This window comes from Homo sapiens, chromosome 1, assembly GCF_000001405.40.
Source record: "Homo sapiens chromosome 1, GRCh38.p14 Primary Assembly".
NCBI lineage: Eukaryota > Metazoa > Chordata > Mammalia > Primates > Hominidae > Homo > Homo sapiens.
The window spans coordinates 115,650,460-115,673,888 of record NC_000001.11 but is presented as its reverse complement, the minus strand read 5'-3'; the positions used below and the strand labels follow the sequence as shown (position 1 = coordinate 115,673,888).

Here is a 23,429-nt window from a genome sequence, read left to right as displayed (position 1 = left end):
TTGGCTCATGCCTGTAATCCCAGCACTTTGGGAGGCCGACACAGGCAGATCATTTGAGGTCAGGAGTTCAAGACCAGCCTGACCAACAAAGTGAAACCCCATCTCTACTAAAAATACAAAAAGCAGCTGGGTGTGGTGGCATGCATCTGTAATCCCAGCTACTAGGGAGGCTGAGGCAGGAGAATTGCTTGAACCTGGGAGACAGAGGTTGCAGAGAGCTGAGATCGCACTAAGGCACTCCAGCCTGGGCGAAAGAGTAAGACTCTGTCTCAAAAAAAAAAAAAAAAAAAAAAAGAGGACATACAGAGACCCACAGAGAGGAGGTCATGTAATGATGGGGGCAGAAACTGGAGTGACACAGCCATAAAGGAACACGAAGGGTTGCCAGCAGCCACCAGAAACTAGGAAGAGGCAAGGAAGGATTCTTCCCTAGAGGCTTTGCGGGGAGCACAGCTGTGCCAACACCTAGATTTTGTACTTTCTGAGAAGGAGAACTTTTAAGCCATCCAGTTTGTGCTATACTCTATTACTTCAGCCTTAGGAAACTAAGGGGAAGCTACTTAGGAAACTACTCGAACTTAGGGAAGGAAGGGTGGAGGCAGGTAAGCGGCAAAGCTGGTCAATGGTAATGGAGGCTGCAGATGAATGCAAACGTGAGAGAACGGGAGGAAGGAGGGTCAGTGGACAGGGACAACCAAAGGAGGCCAGTACTGACGGCTGCCCAGGCACTAAGGCCACTCATTACCTACTTTTTAAGGTGTGCCTGCTCTGGTGGCTGCATTTTAGGGCCCAAACCTAGGTCTTTGAGAGAACTCTAAAATGCAGAATCCCCAATACAAGTTGATTCAGCTTTCTGTGAAAACCTGCAGCTAGGGTGCAATAGCTGATGCTTTCAGTTTTACCCACCTGCTGCTTCCCAGAAGAGTCCGTAAGAGCTAAATCTACCTGGACGTGTGGGCTTCACTGCTCCCCACACTTGGAGATAAATGACTTCAGTCTGACAGTCAGGTACATTTGTGGCAATATTTGTGTGAGTCCCAGAGAAGAGAATATAATTAGCCCCTGGACGCTGAACGCCACCGCCTTCACTGACAACCAGGCACATGAGTGTTTATATCTCCTGGCCCTTCTGCCTTTTAATTAAAATGTTTGTCTCACAGCTGCATTTGGGAAGTTAGCTTACACAAGTCCCATAGATAACAGGCAATGATCACCTTGGAACTTGAGAAGGACAAAGAGGGACAAAAACTGGAATTAGCTCATGTTTACTGACAGGTCTGGTTTAAACTGCACAACAAAGGCCTGGACTTGGTTGGACTTTCAAGATAGAGGGGGAGATCCACAGGTTTCTGCTTGAGGTCTTGAGACACAGGAGACTGACCATCCCGCAAAGGGAAACAGATCAGAGGCTCTGTGTGGCTGCTGAGGCCCATGGGAAGGCTCTTCCTCGGGCCACCTGGATTCACTCGTGCCTCGGGCCTGCTGGTGCCTCAGCTACACAAAAGCTTCGGCAGCCAAATTCTTTGAACCAATATCGGAAGGCTGGAAAGCGTACCTGGCTTTTGGTTTGAAATTCAAGCTGTGGACAAGCCCTGCAGGGTATCCCCACTGAAAGATGAACATGCAGATTGGCAGCCTAGGATATCTAATCCCAGAGCGCCAAGGAAGTGGAATCAGCAGGACTTGGGAATCACAGAATGATCTCCAAAGTGCAGTGTGCAGGACACCCAGAGCACTTCTCCATGAGTCCCTAATAATACAAATAAAACTATACCCAGAGCATGCCCGGAGGACACCATTCTCTATCAACACTGGGAGGAGTTTGTGAGAACCAGAAGTAGCTAATAGCTCATGCAATTACCTGGATCTTCTGGTCTCAGCAACTAAGCAATACAAGGTTGTCAACATATGCACCCCTCCTGGGCTTAACACCACGACCCAGTGGCAGTTCTGAGTGCAGAGACACACTGCTGGTCTCCTCCTGAGGAGCTGAGCCAGTTATGGATGAAGCCCTCTGGCTGCCTTCCCCACAGCACAGCGATGCTGGCAGACCTCCCCTACTGGGGCACCTAGGAGACACGCTTCCCTACAAGTGAGGGGCTTGGCTCTGCCACAGTCTGCCTGGGGAGCATGCAGCCCTGCTTGTAGGCCGCGGCACAAACCTCGCCATGCTGCCATTTCCTTACACAGTCCAACCTGCACTGCGCCTCCCCTGCCTGGGATGGGAACTTTGCTCTCTCCACGTCTTAAATTACAGTGATGAATCACACCAAGATAAACAGCAGAGGCATGGGGATCAAAGACAGCAGCCTGCTTAGGGTGCTCTAAGAAAAAGATTTAGATATGGACTCGAAACACCTCCACTCCACCCAGGATGCTGGACTGCCTCGCCTTCCTCCTGAGTAAGCAGGAAGGAGCGCACCATGAAAAGTCTGGAGTCTGAGGCTCCCGGCCTGCCCAAGTGGATCCCGGCTCCCCGAAACCTGGGCTGGAGCAGAGTTGAGTGGCGGCTTTGCAGCCAGGGAAAGGAGGCCGCAGGCTGTTCACCCACCTGAGTGCTCGCGCCCCTCCACTTTCACACCGTGTCAAGTCACACCCAGCCACTTGTGGTGAGTGTGGAGAATACGGGACCTGGCCTGCAGCAAGAATCCTCCAGGGAAACCAACAGCACAGCATTCAGGGAGTGTGACCCATCTCCCAGGGGCCAGGGGCCCTCAGGAGACCATGAAAACCAGCTTCACCTTTGCCAGCTCCTTTTCCTGTGAGTCCTCTGGGCTCCGGGCGCAAGGCTGTGGGCAGACGCCGTGCGAGGGAAGCCATCCCAGCTGTAGCCGCTGGCAGGAGGCAGCTGAATAAACACAGGGCTTCAGTGTGCAGCACCTTACACTCTCATTAAAGCCACTTTTAACAGGCACCACAGCACCAAACCACAAACGGCAGCTCCACTCCCGCCTTCAAAATTCTCCCACAGCAAAGCATGGCCTGAGCAAAACCCTCCACGCTCTATGTTTCAGCCCTTACTTGTTCTTGTCCTTTGCTTTGCTATGGAGTGGAGCTAAGGACTGGCAAAATATCTTTATTAAAAAGTAATTACAGGAGTACAAAAACACACATTTCTAAAAATGAGATGGTATATGAACCCACAATCGTAGGAACATGAGCCAAAACCACTGATGGTCATTTAAGAATTTTCCCAACGTTGCAGCCACTGGCTCTGGGCTCTCAGAGACCGTTGGTGCTCATCGTGAACATGGGATGGAGGGCGTGGCCCAGCATGAGAGACATGCCTACCAGTAATGTAATCACTGGCTTGGACATTACTTGACCCAGAATTACAAACATAAGATTTCAAAAGGAGCTGGAAATATCCTGGAATTACTGGAGTAACTTTAACATCCCTAGAAGACTCTCCCTTTGTCACTTAAAACTAGAAAATCAAAGTGCAATCCAGAGAAGCAAGGCCCCCTTGCAAGCTGGGAGGATGCATGCATGAGCTGGAGAGAGGACAAGATGAGCTCTATTCAACAGGTCAAAAGTCTTTGGGGTCACAAGTCTCCAGTGTATGTAATATTCCTGTCTCAGCTCAGGCTGCTGTATCAAAATGCTACAGCCTAGGTAGCTTAAACAACAGAAATTTATTTTCTTACAGTTCTGGAGGTTGGGGGTCCAAGATCAACGTTCTAGCCAACCTGGTTCCTATTGAGGGCTCTCTTCTGGGCTTACAGATGGCCACCTTCTTTCTGGGGCCTCACACAGCCTTTTCTAAGGGTGTGTGCAGAGACAGAGCAAGCTCTCTGGTATCTGTTCTTGTAAGGATGCCAGTCCTATGGGATCAGGGCCCCACACTATGACTACATTTAACCTCAATTACTTCCTTAGGGGCTCCATCTCCAAATATGCCACACTGGAGGTTAGGGCTTCCACATATGAATTTGGGGGGACCACAAACATTCAGTCCATAACACTTCCTTGAATATAATCACAATTGACAATGTGACAATCATAAACTTCCATTGCTTGAAAAGCAATCCAAGGATCATTTCTTCTAAAGCACAGGTGGTTCTGTGATTCGTTACCACATCTTTGATTAAAAGATCTGTATTAGTCCATTTTTATGCTGCTGATAAAGACATACCCAAGACTGGGTAATTTATATAGAAAAAGAGGTTTAATGGACTCACAGTTCCATGTGGCTGGGGAGGCCTCACAATCATGGCAGAAGGCAAAAGGCACATCTTACATGGCACATCTTACAGACAACGAAGAAAATGAGAGCCACCTTTTATAAGGTTTCCTCTTATAAAACGATCAGATCTTGTGAGACTTACTCACTACCACAGGAACAGTATGGGGGAAATCGCCCCCGTGATTCAATGAACTCCCACTGGGTCCCTCCCACAACATGTGGGAATTATGGGAGCTATAATTCAAGATGAGATTTGGGTGGGGACACAAAATCAAGGTCTATGGTCAGTGTCAATTTATAAGCTACTCTCTCTCAGTCTCAATGAATGAAGCATTTTTTACCCCAAAACTTTGACCCTGAAGCTTAAAAACCCAAACAGTTAAAACCTGCTGGCTGAATTAGGTACAAGGGAGCTTCAGCAATATAAATATCCTATAGAATGGGTCACTGTGGAAAGCTTCCCAGAGTGCTGAGTCATACCTGCTTTTGTGGTTTCTCTGTCTCCCTCCTTGTTGATGACTATCAGCTATCATTTTTCATTGATGTTCATATACCTCCTTAAAGCAGCACTTTTTCCCCTCAAAATATATTACTTCTGGGCTTTTTAAGATGTAGAAATCAATAATTAAATTTGTTAGAACTATATGCAAAATGAGAATAAACAGACTCTGAGAAAGACAGCCCGAGGTGGTTGTGGGGGTCTGTGACATTGAACTTAACATCCTAGTAGCCTCTGTCTTGTGTCGTCCTCTCTCCTTAAATGTGGGATAGGGCTGTGGCTTGCTTTCACCAAGAGAATGCAGTGGAAATACTACTGGGACAGTTCCAGGCCCAGACCTTAAAAGGCCTGGGAGCTTCTGCTTTTGTGCTCCTGGGAGCCCTGAGCTGCCATTTAAGAAGTCTAGCAACCCTAATGAGGAAACAACAAGGAGAGGCCATGAGAAGGAGAGAATATACAGGAAAAGAAGGAGGAGAGAATACACAGGAAAAAAAAGTCAGCCTCAGCTGACTCACCATGTGAGTATAATCACACAGGACCATGGGCAGGATCAGCTAAAGAACCTCCTGGCTGAGCCCAATCCATGCTGCAGAATTGTGAGAAATACTGAATTGGTTGTTTTAAACTACTAAGTGGTGAGGTAGTTGTTACACAACAATAGATAAAATATATTTTCTTTGAGACATGTGAAGTATAGGAAGTTAAAAAGGTCTGACCAAAGGCTCAAACCTACTGCTATGACTTTAAGGACCAGGCTTTGTCAACTGAGTGAATAAAATAACCAGTGGAGCTAAGGAATGGACCTCAGAGTGCAAGCCATCTTGACAATCCTGCACATTCTCTCTGTTCCAGCCCTAAGCTCTGTGTTAAGTGAAACAGGATAATGTATACAAAAATATCTGGCACCGAGGCTGGCACATGGGAAACACTCAAAAAATGCTTCTGGGTTTGTTCATGTGTTCCTAAAGCAGTGACGTGAACATGCAACTATCTATTCAGAGGTAGTATGGTGAAATGGGTAAGATCATTCTGGAACCAGAGAGCCTGGGCTCAAATCCTGGTTCCCACAATTACAAAGTGTGGGGCCTTAGACTTACCTAACTCTCCCACGCCTCGGTTTGCTCATCTGAAAAGGAGGCTACCAGAACCTACCTCACATGATTGTTGTGAAAACTGAGTTGCACATTAAAAGATCAGAAGGTACCTGGCTCCCAGTAAGACTATGTAATTGTTTATTGTTAAGGTTTTCTTTATCTGTCTCTGTTGTTCTACCATTTCACATTCAACCAGTCAATTACACTAGTGCCTGTGCACCAGTATTCACACTTATTTCCCTTTAGAGGTTTCAAAACTGAAAAATGATTAAGATAATTGAATGCCAATTTTTAGGCTCTTCTATTCTTCTGGGTTTCTCCTCAAATAAAGTCATATCAACAGTCATTAGTCTCTGGTAACATCCTGGAAAAGTTAGCAACTTATTGTGAGAACGGGGCCAAGAAAAGTGACGAGCAAGGTGTGTATGGAAAATGACAAAGCGACTGTGTGAGACACCAGGACGCTGTAGAAAGTGCGGTGGGGTAAGCGGTGTGATGCACAGGAAGGTGCTGATTCCCTGTGACCTTGAGCAGGTCCCTTACCCTGGGGGTTGGGGACCTCAACTGTAAGAGGGGACACCTCTACCCCACCTGCTCTGACCTCTGACAGGGCAGCAAGGAGGGGTAAATGAGTCCAAACCTATGAAAAGCTTTTCATAACTCCTAGGGCACTGGGCAGAGGTTAGGAAGTATCTCAATCTATTTATGGTATCTTACTTTCTGCAACAACTTTTTACATTTTTGAAAGTTTTCAAATAAGCCCAAAACTTCATTCCTGCCAACAAGCAGGGCCACAGCAAGCACCTTTTATGAACTAATGAGAAGCCTATTTTCTTTAAGAAACTAAAGAGTAGACATTCTTTAGACAACTCTCAAAAATAGCTCAGTCAATTCGATAAAATCATCTTTGAAAACATAAAAAAGAACTCACCATCGCTTGGCACCTAAGCCCAATAGGGTGCTGCCACGGTGAAGGCTTTACATAAAGGGAGAGCCAACAGCCTGTGATTCTGCTGGGTCTAATGGAGACCTGCTATTCTGATTTCCGAGGCTTGCTTTGTCTATTCCCGCTCCCTCTTCCCTCCTGTCTGTTTCTACACTTTACAAAAGGCCTTAGAAGTTGTATTTCTGGCCTAGTAACTCTTCCAGCCACTGCTGGGTTCAGACCAGATTTAGCCCAAGGATCGGCAGGTGACCAGGCCCACACAATGCCAGGAGGAAAGGTGCCAAGCCTGCTCCAGCTCTGGCAGACTGGCTGACACTTGGGCATCTGGCTCTCCCTGAGGGCTCCATTTGTCAGTAAAGATGTCCCTCTTTCCCCAGCCATTCTTTCCACCTCCTAACTCAGGCTCTCCACGAGAGGGACAAAGGGGGCCTTATTAAAGGCAGGGAGAGGAGGAACACCAATGGTCCTAAAAAGAAGCCGAAAGGATGAGGCTGGGGACCACCTCAAAACGCTCTCCCCAGGGCAGATGGGCACTTGCCACCTTTCAGTTCTCCCTGGGGAGCTGGGGTGACTGACTTGAGTTTTTTAAAGCCTGGACAGTTGTTGGTCATGGTAAGAGCAGACTGAAAGGTTTGCAGCAAGCCTGGGAGCCATGCAGCACAATCAGTCTGGCTTCTCCCATCCAGCTCTGCCCTGACCAGCAGAGCTGTGTGGTGGGAGGCGAGGGCTGCTGCTAATCATGCTTTCTGAACACGCCACAGGCATACTTTCCTCGGGCTGTTTGGTTTGTCCCCTCTCCACTCCCACTCAGATGCAGTGTGCAGCTCAACCAGTCGTACAGGGAGGAGCGATGTGGGAGCCCATGGGGGTAAGTCGGTCCCACCACCCTGCATGACCTATGGTGAGAAGATGCCCTGCCCTTTCCCACCTACACAGGTGGAATTCACACCAACTAGGGCTAAGGGCCAAAAAACAAAACCACCATAGACCTCACTCCTGGCCAGTGTCTTGGCTACTTACATATACAGAGTTCCAAATATCACTCATCTCCACTGAGACCACAGCCGGATTTTTCTCTACCACTTTAACTGCAGCAAAACCTGTTCTGAGACAGACTGTCTCCTGCTCGGCTTTATTGCTGCCACAATCTGAAATTCTCTGTCCTCCTGTGTTCCTATCACCTATACCCCCAGGCCTGTTTCTGCACCTGTCCACCAGACAGCGGTGCACTGGTCTCTTTCCAAGTGACTGTGAGTGCCACAGGTGCTGAGATAGAGCTCTGAAGGCAGCCAGCCTGGTGTGTCCAGGGCTCTGCACACAGCAGATGTTTAACACAAAACTGCTGGTCATTCCCTGATGCAAAACATGGGAAAAGAAAGCCTTCTGAGATGAATATGCAGCAAAGCGGTGACCTACTTGTCTTCAGAGCCCTACAGGCATCTGTGAAGGACTCTAAACCCCAGATTTTTGGTGCACAGACATGTGACTTGGACACCAGTTTCCACCAAGGATCAGTTAGGGTGGCAGCAACCTTGAACGCTAGATCATCCCGTTCTCGTAGCACAAGCCAAGCCAGAGGAATGGAGGAGGGTACACACCAACATGAAGATGGTTTGGCAGCATGGCCTGACTCCAAATACAGGCTGAGCCACCTTCCTGGAGCCCAGCCAAATCTATGACAAAGCCGATTGTTCTGATACCCACTAAGGTGTGCCCTTGCTGATTCTGGCTGCTCTGCCAGCTACATGATCACAGCAGTAATAGCTGCAATGAACTAAGTGCCTACCCTGCCCCAAGCAGGCTACACACATCAGCATATACTGCCTAAGGAGGCAGAGAGCCTGGGAGAGGGTAAAGGCTTTGAAGTCAAATGTCCCAGGCTCTGCATTCACCCAGAGAACATCTCAGTGCAAGCCATGCTCCATGCCAGGCACTGAGGATGTAATGAGGTATAAGGGTGGCCCCTGGCCTCAGGGAGTTCATAGTCTGTGGAAGAAAACAGATGGAAAAATAGGCCACTAACCACAAAGTGAGAGATGCCATTATGGGGGCATTCACTCAGCCCTGGCCTCATGACATCTGAGTGAATCCTAAATGAGGCTAGCCATATGTTTTTGTGCAAATTACTTAAATCCCCTAAGCCCTAGTTTCTTCATCTGTGACACAGGGATTAATAATACCTAGGTCACGGGGTTCTATGAAGACTAAATACACAATCTATATATAAAGTGCTTACCTTGAAGCAAATAAAATGATGGTAATCACTCTTATTTAACCACAAAATAATGAGATTTTATGCAGAGATGTAAGTATGACAACCCAACTGACTTCTAACTTTTTCTCACGCATACATTTTCACAACACTCAAGGATTACACATTTGGAGTCTCTAACCTGCACTTGATTCTTTATTGGAGGGTCCCTCGGATGACCATATAATTTACTGCCCAAACCAGGCCTCTGAGAGTGGGAAAAAAGGAACAATTCATTATTCCACTGGGACAACATGGTAAACCAGATGTCACATTTGGGACAAAATGGAGCTGCTGGTCACTTTATCTGTTGTCCATTGGCCAATTTCAGAGTCAAAGAAGGCAGCCATCACTATGCATCTCCTTTCTCCATCATTTTTGGGAGCTGCCAATAACTTTGAGAACAAGCCCAGCAAAATCTCAACCTGGGTGAGAGCCAGCAACTGCCCCGCACCATCTAGAAGTCCAGAAACTCAATGAACATGGACACCCTCCCCACCCTCGCATCTCCTCCCCAAACCAGAAAAGAGTCAGACTCTGGTCCTAGCTCTTGGCATCTGTCACCACCCCTCACGTGCTACAGAGCAGCTGTCTCCCAGCAAGACATCAGCCATCCTTTCTGCCTCCTGGATGTTGCCTCTTACCTCAGGTGTCCCAGGCTGTAGAAGCGGGACTCGCCATCGGTGGAGCGGACCACCTGCAGCGTGAACATGGGCTGCAGCTGCCTGAGCTCCAGCAGGACGATGGCCAGGTAATGGATGAAGAGGAGGGCATCCACAAGGGAGACTGCATATTGCACAATGCCCTGGTAATTCCGGTCCCGAGAGTCCAAAATGCGGACCCCGTAAAAAAGCCAATAGGAAACCACAAAGAGAAAGATGAGGACCAACAAAAGGGCACGAAACACAAACACCCGTGGCATGTCAGCTCTCCGCTTGCGGAAAAAAAGTGCCCAGGTCCCTATGAGCAGAATGAGGAGTTTGAATGCCATGGAGATAAAGAGCCCCTCACAAATTGTGCCACAAGGCTCCAGCTCATCCCTCCACAGGATCGGAGGTAAAAGGATGAAGGCAATAGGGGTGAGGAAAACTAGAAGTCCAAGAAAAGAGGCGACGGTGAGGCCCAGGTAGCGTTTGCAATCCAGCCCCACGCTGTCCTCCATGTCCTTGCTGATCCTGGCAATGTCCTCTTGGGATATGCTGTGCTCCGAGGTGCCTGTGATGGCCGTGGTGGTCTCTCCCCAGTTGTCATCCTGGTGGGGAGAAGACAGTGAGGATGACATGACACAGGTCATTTGTAAAAGCTACAAAGGGCAGTGAACATGCAGGGCCCGCTGCATCTACCCAGCCCTATTCACAAAGGCTTCCAGAAAATGAAAGCTTAACTCTTTAAATATTAGAACTTCTTAACTCAAACGATTTTCATTGAAATTTTCAAAATGTATGAGGTATTTACCTTTTCAAACAGAGAAAACATAATGTGATCTTTCTGTCTGTTTGGCTGATTCATTGACATAACATTGATTATCATCCCCTGGGTTGAAAAGCCTTGAGCAGCTCTGAGGGCCTGGAGCTGTTTGCCCTGCAATGCGCAACCCAGGTATTAGACTAATCTTGTGAGAGCTCATCTATAGAGATAAACCTCCTGCATCTTCTTTCCAATTCACGCTGGGTTATAAAGGCTTACGAAGTCCAACTTTTGGAGGTGGGAGTATTACTACACCCTCTAGCAGCCCAGAAGAGCAAAGGGCGTAGCAAGGGAACTTACACCACTACACAAACCCAAGCTTACCTGTAGCTAGGACCCACATTTTAAAATCTCTTTATGGACTGGGGCGCGGTGGCTCACACCTGTAATCCCCGTACTTTGGAAGGCCGAGGCGGACGGATCAGGAGGTCAGGAGATCAAGAACATCCTGGCCAACATGGTGAAACCCCGTCTCTACTAAAAATACAAAAATTAGCAAGGCGTGGTGGCACATGCCTGTAATCCCAGCTACTCAGGAGGCTGAGGCAGGAGAATCGCTTGAACCCGGGAGTCGGAGGTTGCAGTGAGCTGAGATCGTGCCACTGTACTCCAGCCTGGGCTACAGAGTGAGACTCCGTCTCAAAAAAAAAAAAAAAAAATCTCCTTATGATGTTCACAAGATCCACTTAACAAGCATCAGTGTCAAGCACTCTTTAACAATATTTCTCATGGACCAAGCTAAGCAAATCCAGGAATCCGTGTATGGCCAGATTGGCTTAAAAATTCTTTCTAAAACATGTTTTCACGAGGAACTAAACATCAAGGGCATAGAAACAACCAGGATTATTAAAATGTTATCTTTTACTTTCTAGCTTCCTCTCTTTTTAAACTTCTAGGCCGTTGCTAGTTAAAGCAATTAGTCTATTCACTTAGCAAAACCCAGTTGATAGAATTTTAAAGGATTTTGTTGTTTAAAAACAACTGGCAACAATAATGAAGCAATAAGAGCAAGGCGCTGAAAAGACACAGGAGGCCAAAGAGGTTTCTGCCTCTGAAATTTGTATGTATCCTTTCACTCGGAAAGAAAACAGTCAGATGCAGTGGCAAAGGGGGTGAAATTAGGACACCAACTTAGAAAAAGCTAGTTTCAGTTAGTAGCTAAATCAGCAAGACAGACATCGCTCATCATCAAATAACTCCGAATCTAGTAATGACCAAAAAAACCATGATTTATGAAATGTATGGGCTATGGTAAGAAGCGGTGGTGGTGAAGGTCTCAATCCCATAAACTAATAATCCTTCAACTTGCAAAGTCAGAAGTATCACCTACAGTGAGAGAAATTCCTATTTCAGACGATGGCCAGAAGCAGCCAGGACTCTCCAACACTGCTGGTGGAAGTGGACCGTGGTACAGTGCCTCTGGAAAACCACTCTGGCGGTTTCATATAAATCTAAATATACACTTAGCTATATGGCCCAGCAATTCCACTCTCAGGTTTTATCCAAAAATTAATAAAAATATACATCCAGCCAGGCACGGTGGCTCACGCCTGTAATCCTAGCACTTTGGGAGGCCAAGGCAGGCAAATCACCTGAGGTCAGGAGTTCGAGACCAGCCTGGCCAACATGGTGAAAGCCCATCTCTACTGAAAATACAAAAATTAGCTGGGCGTGGTGGTGCGTGCCTGTAATCCCGGCTATTCGGGAGGCTGAGGCAGGAGAATCGCTTGAACCCGGGAGGTAGAGGCTGCAGTGAGGTGATATCATGCCGCTGCACTCCAGCCTGGGCGACAGAACAAGACTCTGCCTCAAAAAACAAACAAACAACAACAAAAAAAACCCAAATGTCCATCCACTAGGAGAATGGATAACAAATTGTGGTAGACTGATACAATGGAATACTACTCAGCAAAAATAAAAAGAATAAGCTGTTGAAACATACCAAAACATGGATAAATCTCAAAATCATTATGCTAAGCAGGGCGGGTGGGTGGGGGCAGGAGATGGACCATATGATTCTAATTATACTAAATTCAAAAACAGGCAAAATTGATCTACAGTGATAGAAATCAACACAGTGGTTGCCTTGGAGAGGTGAGGGTGGGGCAGAGATTGACTAGAAAGGGCATGAGAGAATTTCCTGGGGTGCACATGTATGCCTAAAACATGTAGATACACAAAGGATCCTGTTAAGCTTCAGGTTCTTAGAAGAAAAAGCACCTAAGATGCTTTCATCAAAACCCCTAGATTTTCAATAAAGAAATTGAGGCCTACAAAGGCTGTGACTGCTCAAGGTAACAGAGCTACTAAAAAATACAGCCTCCAAACACCCATCTCAATGCTTTTCACACCAGATCATCCTGGGGCAACACCAAGAGCTTCTCAAAGTGTTCTCAGCTACGAGGTGCAGAGGAGATGCAGAGAAAGAAGAGCCTTTGCTGTAGGCCACTGGCACCTCTGAACCCACATCCAGGAGGAAACTGACCCCTTCAAGTACTCCAGGGTGATCCAATCCTAAGACTGGCCCCATCCGACCATCAGCCATCCCAGAGCCAAGGCAGGCAGCACTAAAGGCATTTGCTCATTGCTCAATGAATCCCACGTTCAACCCACAATTGTAGTTTTGTGTCCCAAGAACACCTTGTGTACTCTGAGGAATTCCAGTTTCAGTCCACCTATTTGATTATAAATGCTTACCTGTGTGTATGCACAGGTATGTACAGATGTATGCTTATCTATAGTCCTATATCTATCTTTACAGCTGTGTATCATACACCACTTTGTTTATGAGGGGCAAGGCTGGACATGTGTATATATACTTCAGGATGTGCAGAGGGTATGCAGACATGTTTCTGTGTATAGCTCAGATGTTTATTTAAATCAGGTGGGCTGCCAGACAGTTGGAACCTGGAGAAGAACCCACTCAATGGTTCAAAAAAATTAATAAAGTATCAGTATTTCAAAAATACTGTAAAGTTAGGATTCCACATAAAATCCTGATTTGCAGCTTTTCTCAAACAATGAATCCCTGCATTCCTGAGCAACAGTAGGTGTCTGGAGCTGCGGAGCTGCTGTTTCCTTTACAGAGGAAATGCATTCTCCAGTTAGCCATAGGCTCCTTCACACCACACTACAGCACTGACACTGAGGCACTGCACAGATTGCTGTTAACCCAAAGCTAGGTTAATATATTTTTGCCCCCTCTTTTCGACCCAGGGCCTCCTTAATTAACTTACGTTTCTCTACCAGGCATCTGAGCGTGCGGCCTCTCAATTCCTGCATAGCTCTAGTAGTAATGGTCAGTCTGGGCTGCCCCATGTTTTTTAAACTTCTTAGGTTTTCTGAGTTTCCTTCTCCCCCTTATACTGTTCCATTTTGAAATGAGTCGTGGGAGACTTCAGCTTTTCCCTTCCCAACCCTGTCGTCAACCTTGCTGGCTACTTTTCCACACCATGTAAAGCAGGCCAACCAATCATACTTCAGAAGAATCCCCACGCTACCAAAGGGCAGGACAGGCTGTCCTTAGACCAACAAGAGACCATGGGACATAGATAAACTAATTAGCATGCTAGAAAAATAAAGACAAAAATCCAAGAGAACCTAAGGAAAACATTTACAGACAGGAGTCTTGGCCAAGTGGCAGTGTGCTTACAGACCACCTTTGATCCTTACCTGAACTTCCTCTGTCCGAGTAGAATCATTTCCCAACAGGGGCTCTCCAGTGGGAGGTTGAATGGTGACAGACTTTTCTGACCCTCTGCCGTCTTTATTCCGGGGTGACTTGTGTCTCTCTCTAGTTCTTTCCCTGAAAAACAACAATGAGCTAGCACATTTATGCCATGTTAATTAACTCTCTGGGTTTATCAAAATGTAAGTATCATTTTGAATTTAGGGAAATTCTACATACACACACACACACACACACACACACACACACACAGAGCATCAAAACCCACCCATCTTCACCACACTTCAAGGGGTACACTGATCTTTACTCCCTACTAAATATTTTCTTTCTGCCATCCCAAGACCCAAAACAAAGACTGTCACTCTTCCTCTATCATCAGTGATATTTTCTCAAAGCCTAAAATTGTAATTTTAGGATTTTTGTAGCTAGTTACACTTTATTGTAATAATTAGTGATTTGATTTGGTTATAATTTGCCTTAACCAGTTTTCTAGGGCTTTTAAAATTGGGACAACACTGTAGAATAAGCTTTTTTCTACAAAAAAATATCTATTTTTTTGTAGAATATCCAAAAAAATCTGGGACACATTGTCACCCTTCACCTTTGGACAACAGAAGAAAGGAAATTCAAAGTCAGTACAAAGAATTGTTTACTTCTCATTCTTACAGGTTCAAAACTAAGTCATTCCCATAGGTTCTAGTTGAACTTGAAGACACCCATAGAAACAAACAAGCTAGGAAAAAAGGCCAAAGACACCAAGAGGGGTGGAGGGTGTGTGGGTGGATGTGTGTGTGTTTGTGTGTGTGTGTGTGTGTACATGGGGAGGGTTTCAGACCTCCTGAGGAAAGCAGGCTGCTGCATCATTTTACCCCACAGGAACTTCCTGGGTGGTCTTCCAGCGTGATTGTAAGAACCCTGCCTGGGGGTCACTCATGAAATTCCAAAATGAACCAATCACTGGCCAAGCCAAGGTCACAACCTGGGCAATAACCACTTATGGGAACTGGCACTCCCCCTCCAGCTGCCAACAGGAAACCCAGAATCCCCCACCTAAGGAGTCCCTCAAGGGTCAGTGAGTTCCCTCAGCCTCCTGCCCCCACAGCCACCTTGACATCAGCCCTCCTTCCTACAACCACTTGCCGTCATTCCCAAGGTCTCCCAGGCAGGACAGAAGCAGATTTTGGAGACAAACAGATCTTGGATCTGCCCTACCAGATGTGTGATCTTGCACAAGTTATTCAATCTCTGAAAACCTTGGTTTCTTTATGTATGAAATGGTGACAATGACAACACCACATAATGTAAGTAGTGCTCAGTACAAGGATGTGGAGTAAGTGCTAATGCACAGTGGCTATGATTGCTATTACTATTAGCCAGTGTCAAAGAATGGTGTCTTGACTTAGTGATGCAGAGTGTGTATAACCTTGGAGAAAGAGATGTAAATAGAACTATTAACACACAACATATCTTCTGTTAACCTACTACTTAGCTTAAGAAAACGTAGATTTCTTGTCAAACTTCGACCTTATCATTACCTCCCTGGGATAAGCATTGGCTGATTCCTTCATAGAGCCAGGAGGCTCCCATGGCCAAGGGAATCTTTCAGTGACAACAATTCTATTCCTACAGCATAACTTATAATCACACTCTATTGCTGATACAGTTCAGATAGTTGTCCCTACCCAAATCTCATGCTCAATTGTAATCCCCAGTGCTGGAGGTGGGGCCTGGTGAGAGGTGTCTGGATCATGGGGACAGACCCCTCATGGCTTGGTGCTATCTTCACGATAGTGAGTGAGTTCTTGGGAGATCTGGTTGTTTAAAAGTGTGTGGCGCCTCCTCTCCCAACTGTCTCTCTTGCTCCCGCTTTCACCATGTGATGTGCCTGCTACTGCTTCACTTTCTGCCATGACTGTAAGCTTCCTGAGGCCTCTCTAGAAGCCAAGTAGATGTCAGTACCATGCTTCCTGTAAAGCCTGCAGGACCGTGAGCCAGTTAAACCTCATTTCTTTATGAAGGTGTCAGGTATTTCTTTATGGCAATGCAAGAAGAGACTAATACAACTGCAAAGTTAGATTCTAAAAACAGAGGTGTTCTGGTCAACTCAGGTGTTTTGTTTTAACAAGGCAGCTAGGGAAACAGCCAAATAAGCAGAAAATTTGGTTGTTTACCCAGAGACGCATCTAACAATGCCAATTACCTCACATCCTACCCCAATTTATAGAACACTTTGCTGAATGCCTCACTATAATATTTCATTTAATCCTAATAATAATCCTATGAAGGCAGTATCATTGTCTTCATTCTACAGACAAGGAAACTGAGGCTCACAGAGTTCAAGTTACTTCTCAAGCTAGTATTATAGTCAGTGGCAGACCTGAATTCAGGTCTGTTGCCACCACTTCTATTCACACCTACTATGGTGCACCGTGTTGAAGAGCAATTGGAAGATTTCATGGCATAAATATTCTTAAAGCTCATTCTCACACCCTTATACTTGAAAACTATTAGAGCTATGAAATATGCCTTGAAGCTATTGCTAGGAATCACAATTGGACCGTGACCTTAGATAGCACAAAGCTGTGTGCCCAACACTCTGGGCTGTCAAATACAATCACTTCAAAAGGCACCCACTGTGAGAAACTATAAACAATTTGGGAGAGACTTCCCACGTTGTTAGGTCAGTTTCTGAACTAACCTCAGAATAGTCTAGAACTGCTGCTCCACCAGCCCTGCCATCGGCCAGATGGACAATGCCCCTCTTCTATCTTAATCCGTTTCCATTTTCCCCAGCTACTCTCACATTTATCACTCTCTCGGCCACCAGCCAAGTCACATGCTCACCTAACCCATCTATCTATTCACTAGTCCCATGGGTCAAATCTTGTGACAGCACAAATTCCACTGGAAATCAAAATTCTTTCACTGAGTGCCAATTCCCGGAGCCTGAACCCTACCAGGGCAGAAAGCAGGTGGGGAGCCACCCAGGGGTGGAAACAGCCTCTGTTGCCAGCCAGGGTTGCCATCACCAGCCCTCCCAGCCTGGCTCTTAAAAGGCCCAGGAGCACCCAAATGTGAAACAACCAACAATTCCCCTGATAACATCGGAGGGAAACCAGAGAAGAATCTGTTATCTGATAACCCAAGCAAGGTTTCTCATCCTCCAGAGCCCAAAACCCTAACCAGTGTGTCTTAAACTTTAAAAACCTCTTAAACTTAAAAAACTGCACAGAAAAACTATCCTAGGTATGGACTCAAGTGCAGATTTGTTGGCCCCACTCTCAAATAATTTTCTGGAAGGGAGACAACAGAAATCAAAATTTTTCCCAGCATCCCAGGTGACTGCAGGTGGTAAAGGAAACTTGCCCCAAGATTCTCTTCCCCAAATGCTCCTAGGAGGAGGTTGCTGAGTGACTGCTTGGAAGTTTGCTTCTTTGTGAAATGCCCTGTATATAGCAGGGGCTTGATAATGGGAGCCATGAGTGTAATGCTCAGCTGCACAATGTTATAATACACAGCACCGCTTTATTAAAATAGTATGAAGTGGATGAAGTTGGGAGAAAAGCTCAGGACAGTGTGCAGTCATGACTGAGGGATACCGAGCCAAGAACCTTCCACCCACTGTCAAGTGAGAGATGAAGGTGAGGCACTTCCTGTCAGCTCAGCACTAGCACTGCGCCAGGTACTGGTCATGCTACCAAGGGAGCAGGACCTGCCATATGGCTTTTATTAGAAAACAATTATTAGAAAATTAGAATAACTTTATCAGAAATCCACTGGTCCCGAATTACTGCTCTAAGAAGGTCTCTGAGCCAAGTCAGGACTTCATAGTGACACTCTGCAAAAATCCTGGCATTCAGTGCCTTCCAGTCTGCAGAACTGCGGGTCACAGTGTGGCCACCTCACTGTAATATGTACTCAAATGCTCATCCCTGTAGTTCCAGATGCCACAACTCCAGGGAAAACCTATGGCTGCCAAGTGCTGTCTGGGAGAGGGTTCCCCAATGATGAAGACAATCTGTTCACGGCATCTAAGAGTATGGAAATGGGAGACCAGGAGAGTAAACAGACTGCCAAGCCACAGGGAGAGGTGTTACAAACACATGTATACATGTGTGTTTTTCCAACTCTGCCTCAGTGGTCTGGATCACCTCTGTGCCTTTGCTGGGTGGCTGTGTCAGCTACGAGAGTTTTTCTTCGTATCTTTATCTCTGAATTTGTCTCCACGCAACATCTGCCTGTATGAGTAAAGATAAGTATATCTGTGCGTGTTGTGTGAGGGGCAGGAAGAGCAAGTGGTGGCATGCAGGCAGCCCGGGCATGTGTCTGCACCACACGTGTGTGAGCAAATGCATCTGTTTAGGTGGTTCTAGAGCTAAGCCCTTGGGGGTTGCTGTCACCCTCCTCGTTCCAGCTAGAACCCCTGTAATTCTCACTGTTCTCACTTACAGTCAGCATTTCCTGGGAAGATTATTTAGTCCTGTTTCTGTTGTTTGCCTATTTCTATTTGGGGAAAGCTGGCCCCACCGGTTACTCCTCCCTTTCCTTCTCTCCCACAACCCACGACCCGTCCTTTCTCTCTGCTGGCTGCTGGGGCCCGGCTGGCTGCTTCCTCTTGGCTATGGCTGGGGTAGGAGCGCTGGGCGCAGGACACACAGACTCTGAAGCAGCCTTGAAACAAAAGCACCAATTCCTCACTGCCCCGGCGGCCCTCTTTTTGTGCATTTTAGCACATCAATCACATGAGTCACCCTTCGTTTCCCTTTCCTAAAGTAGCATTTCTCTTCTAAAGAAACAAGGTTGGCCCAAAATCTGCTGAGGGCACCTACTAACTTTGTAATTTTAGGCAAATAACACTGCCCTCTGTGCCTCGATTTCATCACCCGTAAAATGGGGCTATGACCTCCCGCCATTCTAGGACTGCTGTGAGAATAGGAGACAATGGCTATGAGGGAGGGGCCTAGCAGACACCCCCAAAGCAGTTAACATAACTGGCAGCTGCTCTGTTTAAATTAGGGAACTTGTGCTCCAAACCCAACTTCAAATAAGGATGAGAAACAGAAGGAGCTCGGGGCAGGTGCTGCTGGACGGGGCCTGTGGTGACATGGCAGAGCCCAGCTCCTGAGACAGTCACAAACCCTCTGGCCATAAGAATTGAATCACACATTTCAGCTGGTGGGTAAACTGATCAGATTTAGTTATGAAATACCAGAAACAGCTGTTTTAAAATACCAATTTTTTTTTTTTTTTTTTTTTTTTAGCCCTACCAATTCCCTTGTCAATACCAGGCTTCCCTCATCCACACCACAATGACAAAAGTTAGGCGGGGTCAGCAGGAGTCCACACCATTCTCCCAGCAAGTTAACTGGACACCCTCTGGAGACTGCAGGCATCGCAAAACCAGGCCACTGACCTCTTTGTTAGAAAACAGTCACTTGTCATCTGCTTGGAACCTGGCCAGTCTTCTAAGATGATCATGGTGTCATCAGGCATATCAAGTTTGGTGCATTTCATTATTCCTCCCTGAGTTGGACTCTGACTAAAATTACCAAAGAGCATGGTCCCCCTCCAACCCCAACCCGCCTCCTACCCTTCCATTCAAGTTCCCAACAAACCTCTGAGCAGGGCAGCCTTCACAGGAACACTCCTTGGACAAAATACCCTTAGCTGGGCCTGGGGCCTGCTCTCATGCCTGTGGGGGGCAACCCTACTGCTTAACATCCTTTAGGCCCCAGCAAAGTACACCACAGCCCGTGCTCTCTAGGGATGGTGCCTCTCACCCCACAGTTGCTGTGCCCTATGCTGCAGTCAGTTGGAGAATCCACCACCCGTAGGTGGTAGTGGTGTTTTTTAAAGAACCCATGGAGTGCACCTACAAATCTCTAAGGTTCATCTCCTCTCTCAGAGCTTTTCTCAGAGTAGATATCCAGGAACATTTTTTGAATAATTGATTAAAAGACTCAGCTTGTATTAACATTTGCCAAGTACTTTCTATATGGGTCCAAGAATGCATTAAAAATTCTGCGTGTTGTTTTAATTGGAAGTTACAGTCTCTTAAAGTTACTACAAGGGCATTGGAATATCAATTTCTGGAGGCCCCAAGAGGCCTAAGGAAATAGCAGAGCGTAGCAATGGGCCCCGAAGCGTGAAAGTCAGAACTCGAGTGTAGACAAAAGAGCCCAGAGATGGTTCCCACAAAGGATACTGCAAAGCCAACCTGCTTTGTTCATCCCCAAGCACCCAGGGAATCCCAAATTCCTACTTCTGTCATTGTGGTGTGGATGAGGGAAGCCTGGTATTGACAAGGGAATTGGTAGTGCTAAACAAAATTGGTATTTTAAAACAGCTGTTTCTGGTATTTCATAACTAAATCTGGTAAGTTTACCCACCAGCTGAAATGTGTGATTCAATTCTTATGGCCAGAGGGTTTGTGACTGTCTCAGGAGCTGGGCTCTGCCATGTCACCACAGGCCCCGTCCAGCAGCACCTGCCCCGAGCTCCTTCTGTTTCTCATCCTTATTTGAAAGCCTTACCTGGACTCCAGCACAAGCTCGCTGACATGTTTTCCCCAAATTTTGATAAGAGCAATACATAAAAATTTAGAAAACAATTAAAGTTAAAAAGAAAATACGACCATAATCCTACACTCAGAGACAGGCATAGTCACTATGTGAATACTCATCATATGTCTATGTAACTATCACAGCATACAACATTTTGAATCCTGTTTCTTTTAACATGGTCTCATGAACGTTTCCTCAAGTCATCAAACATCTTTGAGAACCTATCCTTATACTATATTCCATTCATTTCTAAAAATTACAAAATATACACTTGTAAAAAAAATTGAACAAGTACAAAAAGATAAATGAAAATTTCCATCATTCTCCAGCTTCTGCCGAGCCTCCCCCTATGGATGACCACTCCTGGCAGCTTGGGAGGTCACCCTCCCAAACCTCTTTCTACGTTAGTAATCCAGATGGGCTTGTAAATAATTAGATATATGTAGCTCACTGCTGTTTTACAGAACAAAATCTCACTCTGCATTCGGCTGCTTGTATGGGGAAGAGCGCAGTCAGGGAAAAACCACTACAATCACTATTCCCAAGCCAGTGCAGAGCTGGGCATTTGGGCTGGGGCCAGTTGATACCTTGGAACATAGTGCTGAAATGCCAAGGCCATTACAGCATTACTTTAGCCACTGTTGACTGACCTCCAGCCTGTACTGTGTTACATGCTTCACATGCATAATCTCATTTAATCCTCTCAACAGCCCTGTAGGAGAGGACTGCTGTACCCATTTTACAGATGACAAGGCTAAGTAAACAGCAGCACTGCAATTTCACCAAGTACAATTCTAACTGGTACAGTGCCACCTATCTGTTCACTGATTTCTTTATTCATTCATTTGCTCTTCTACTTAACAAACATTCTACAGGTCAGTAACACAGCAGGCCCTAAGAATACCAGTGCACACCTGCTAATTTTGCAGAGAAGGGGAAGTTTGACCAATATCACTCAGGACAGTGTTTTCAAAACCCAAACTTGTTCACCTGAAGATTAGTCAAAAAGAATAAGGTGCCAGGACAATCCTACCAGTTCACTAAATAAGCCTCATGACAAAGGCATAATGGACAATGAGTCAACAACTTCAGGTGAAAAGCAACAAGCAATGAACACTTTTTAAATCTTCCATTTACATTCTTCATAAAGCTTTCAGGAGAGCCGATACCTATAAGAAATACCTAGAAACCGAGGCGGGCGGATCACAAGGTCAGATCGAGACCATCCTGGCCAACAAGGTGAAACCCCGTCTCTACTAAAAATACAAAAATTAGCCAGGCGTGGTGGTGGGCGCCTGTAGTCTCAGCTACTCGGGAGGCTGAGGCAGGAGAGTGGCGTGAACCCACAAGGCGGAGCTTGCAGTGAGCCGAGATGGCACCACTGCATTCCAGCCTGGGTGACAGAACGAGACTCCGTCTCAAAAAAAAAAAAAGAAATACCTAGAAATGAAAAACATTTCCACTGCAGGAAGAAACTTTAATTTAAAACCAATTGTGAGAAACTAAAGTCATCAACTCTAATGGTGGCTATAAAATGTAAACTGGTGACGTAGTTACTCCCAAGAATGTTAAATGCTCTTAAAGCTCAGCTTCTCATGCACCAACCGACCAAATGTCCAGCGCTGAGTCACTGAAAAGTGAGTGTAGAGAACCCCACCAACCTGTAGGTTTCCCCAAAAGGAAAAGTGTAATAATGAACAACTTACATACCCTTGTCTGTGAGATTTTTTCGAATGACTTGAATAGTAAGAATATCCAGAATAAGTGGATTCGGTATCCATAGCAATGGAGGGCTTGCGCTTGAGGAAGGAGCAGGTACTGTTTCTCCTTAGAGGTAGAAAATTTCACCTACCAGACTCCTAAAACCTCAAGGAGTCTGGAAATTAGAAGAGGAGCCACTCTTCAACAGGAACAAATTCTGGGAAAGAGGGGGAAAAAAAAAGACATTAATCTTCAGAGCCAACCTTAATGGGGCTGAAAGATAAATGACAAAGCCACACCTCCTCTCTGGGGTCTCTATCATGGAACAAGCGAGTGAGGGTGAAGCAACTGAACTGTAAATGCTCCACCCATGCAGCAACCAGTTTTCCCAGGTGTCTGGGAGGGAGACAGGATAGGCGCTGAGCAAGCTGAACCCCTACCACAGCAGCAGGAAAATGGGAGGCACTTGTCCACGTCCTCAGGATGACCTGACCCCTGCTCACTGGCTTTAGGAGGTGGCTTTCCACATCTGCGACCCTCCACACAATGCCCAGCCCCCCACTGCCAGTTTGCTGGTTAAAAAAACAATACCCAGCGAAGTTGCTTTTAAGGGATTTGGTCATAATTTCCAAAAGTCAATTAAAAAAAAAAAAGATCTTCAATCTTTTTGATCTAGGATCCGAATTTCTGGGAATTTATCTGAGGGAACTGATTTCTTTTTTAAAGAAAAATTATTGTGGTCTCATTGTCTATAAATAATAAAATGCTAGAAACAATCTGAATGCCCCCAGAATACAGGAATAGGTAAGGAAAACATGGTTCATCCACCAGAAAAGTATCACATATGTTTAAAATGATCATTATAAAGAATAGAAACTCTTATAATGATGAATTTTAAAAGCAGGATACAGTATTGTTGATACACAGTGAACCAACATTACAGTTACAATTGTATAAAATTGCTTATGTAAGGACAAAGATTTTTAAAAGGAGACACAGAAAATGAAAGCAGGCAATTTATTATTTGCAGGCTC

At 45.9% G+C, this 23,429-nt stretch overlaps 1 protein-coding gene across 3 annotated transcripts in view, besides 2 other annotated features; it reads right to left on the bottom strand.

The window, feature by feature from the left end:
• Window positions 1-23,429, bottom strand: part of VANGL1 (VANGL planar cell polarity protein 1) — a 56,252-nt gene that overhangs the window by 24,333 nt on the left and 8,490 nt on the right. For 2 of the 3 annotated variants that reach the window (NM_138959.3, NM_001172412.2), the window contains exons 2-4: window positions 22,405-22,612; window positions 14,116-14,248; window positions 9,621-10,228 (exon numbers count right to left, since the gene is read on the bottom strand). In NM_138959.3, the coding sequence (NP_620409.1) occupies window positions 9,621-10,228; window positions 14,116-14,248; window positions 22,405-22,475 (812 nt within the window). In that variant the 5' untranslated portion in view covers window positions 22,476-22,612. The remainder of the gene's footprint in view (window positions 1-9,620; window positions 10,229-14,115; window positions 14,249-22,404; window positions 22,613-23,429) is intronic. The other variant, NM_001172411.2, reaches the window with a different exon arrangement.
• Window positions 1,949-2,503: an enhancer, noted in NCBI's record as "H3K27ac-H3K4me1 hESC enhancer chr1:116214007-116214561 (GRCh37/hg19 assembly coordinates)". NCBI's record gives its function as "activates a minimal SCP1, AML or CMV promoter by ChIP-STARR-seq in primed H9 embryonic stem cells {active_cell/tissue: H9 hESC(primed)}" and the evidence as "EXISTENCE:reporter gene assay evidence [ECO:0000049][PMID:30033119]".
• Window positions 22,547-22,841: an enhancer, noted in NCBI's record as "tiled region #4355; K562 Activating DNase matched - State 5:Enh". NCBI's record gives its function as "activates a minimal TATA promoter and a strong SV40 promoter by Sharpr-MPRA in K562 cells {active_cell/tissue: K562}" and the evidence as "EXISTENCE:reporter gene assay evidence [ECO:0000049][PMID:27701403]".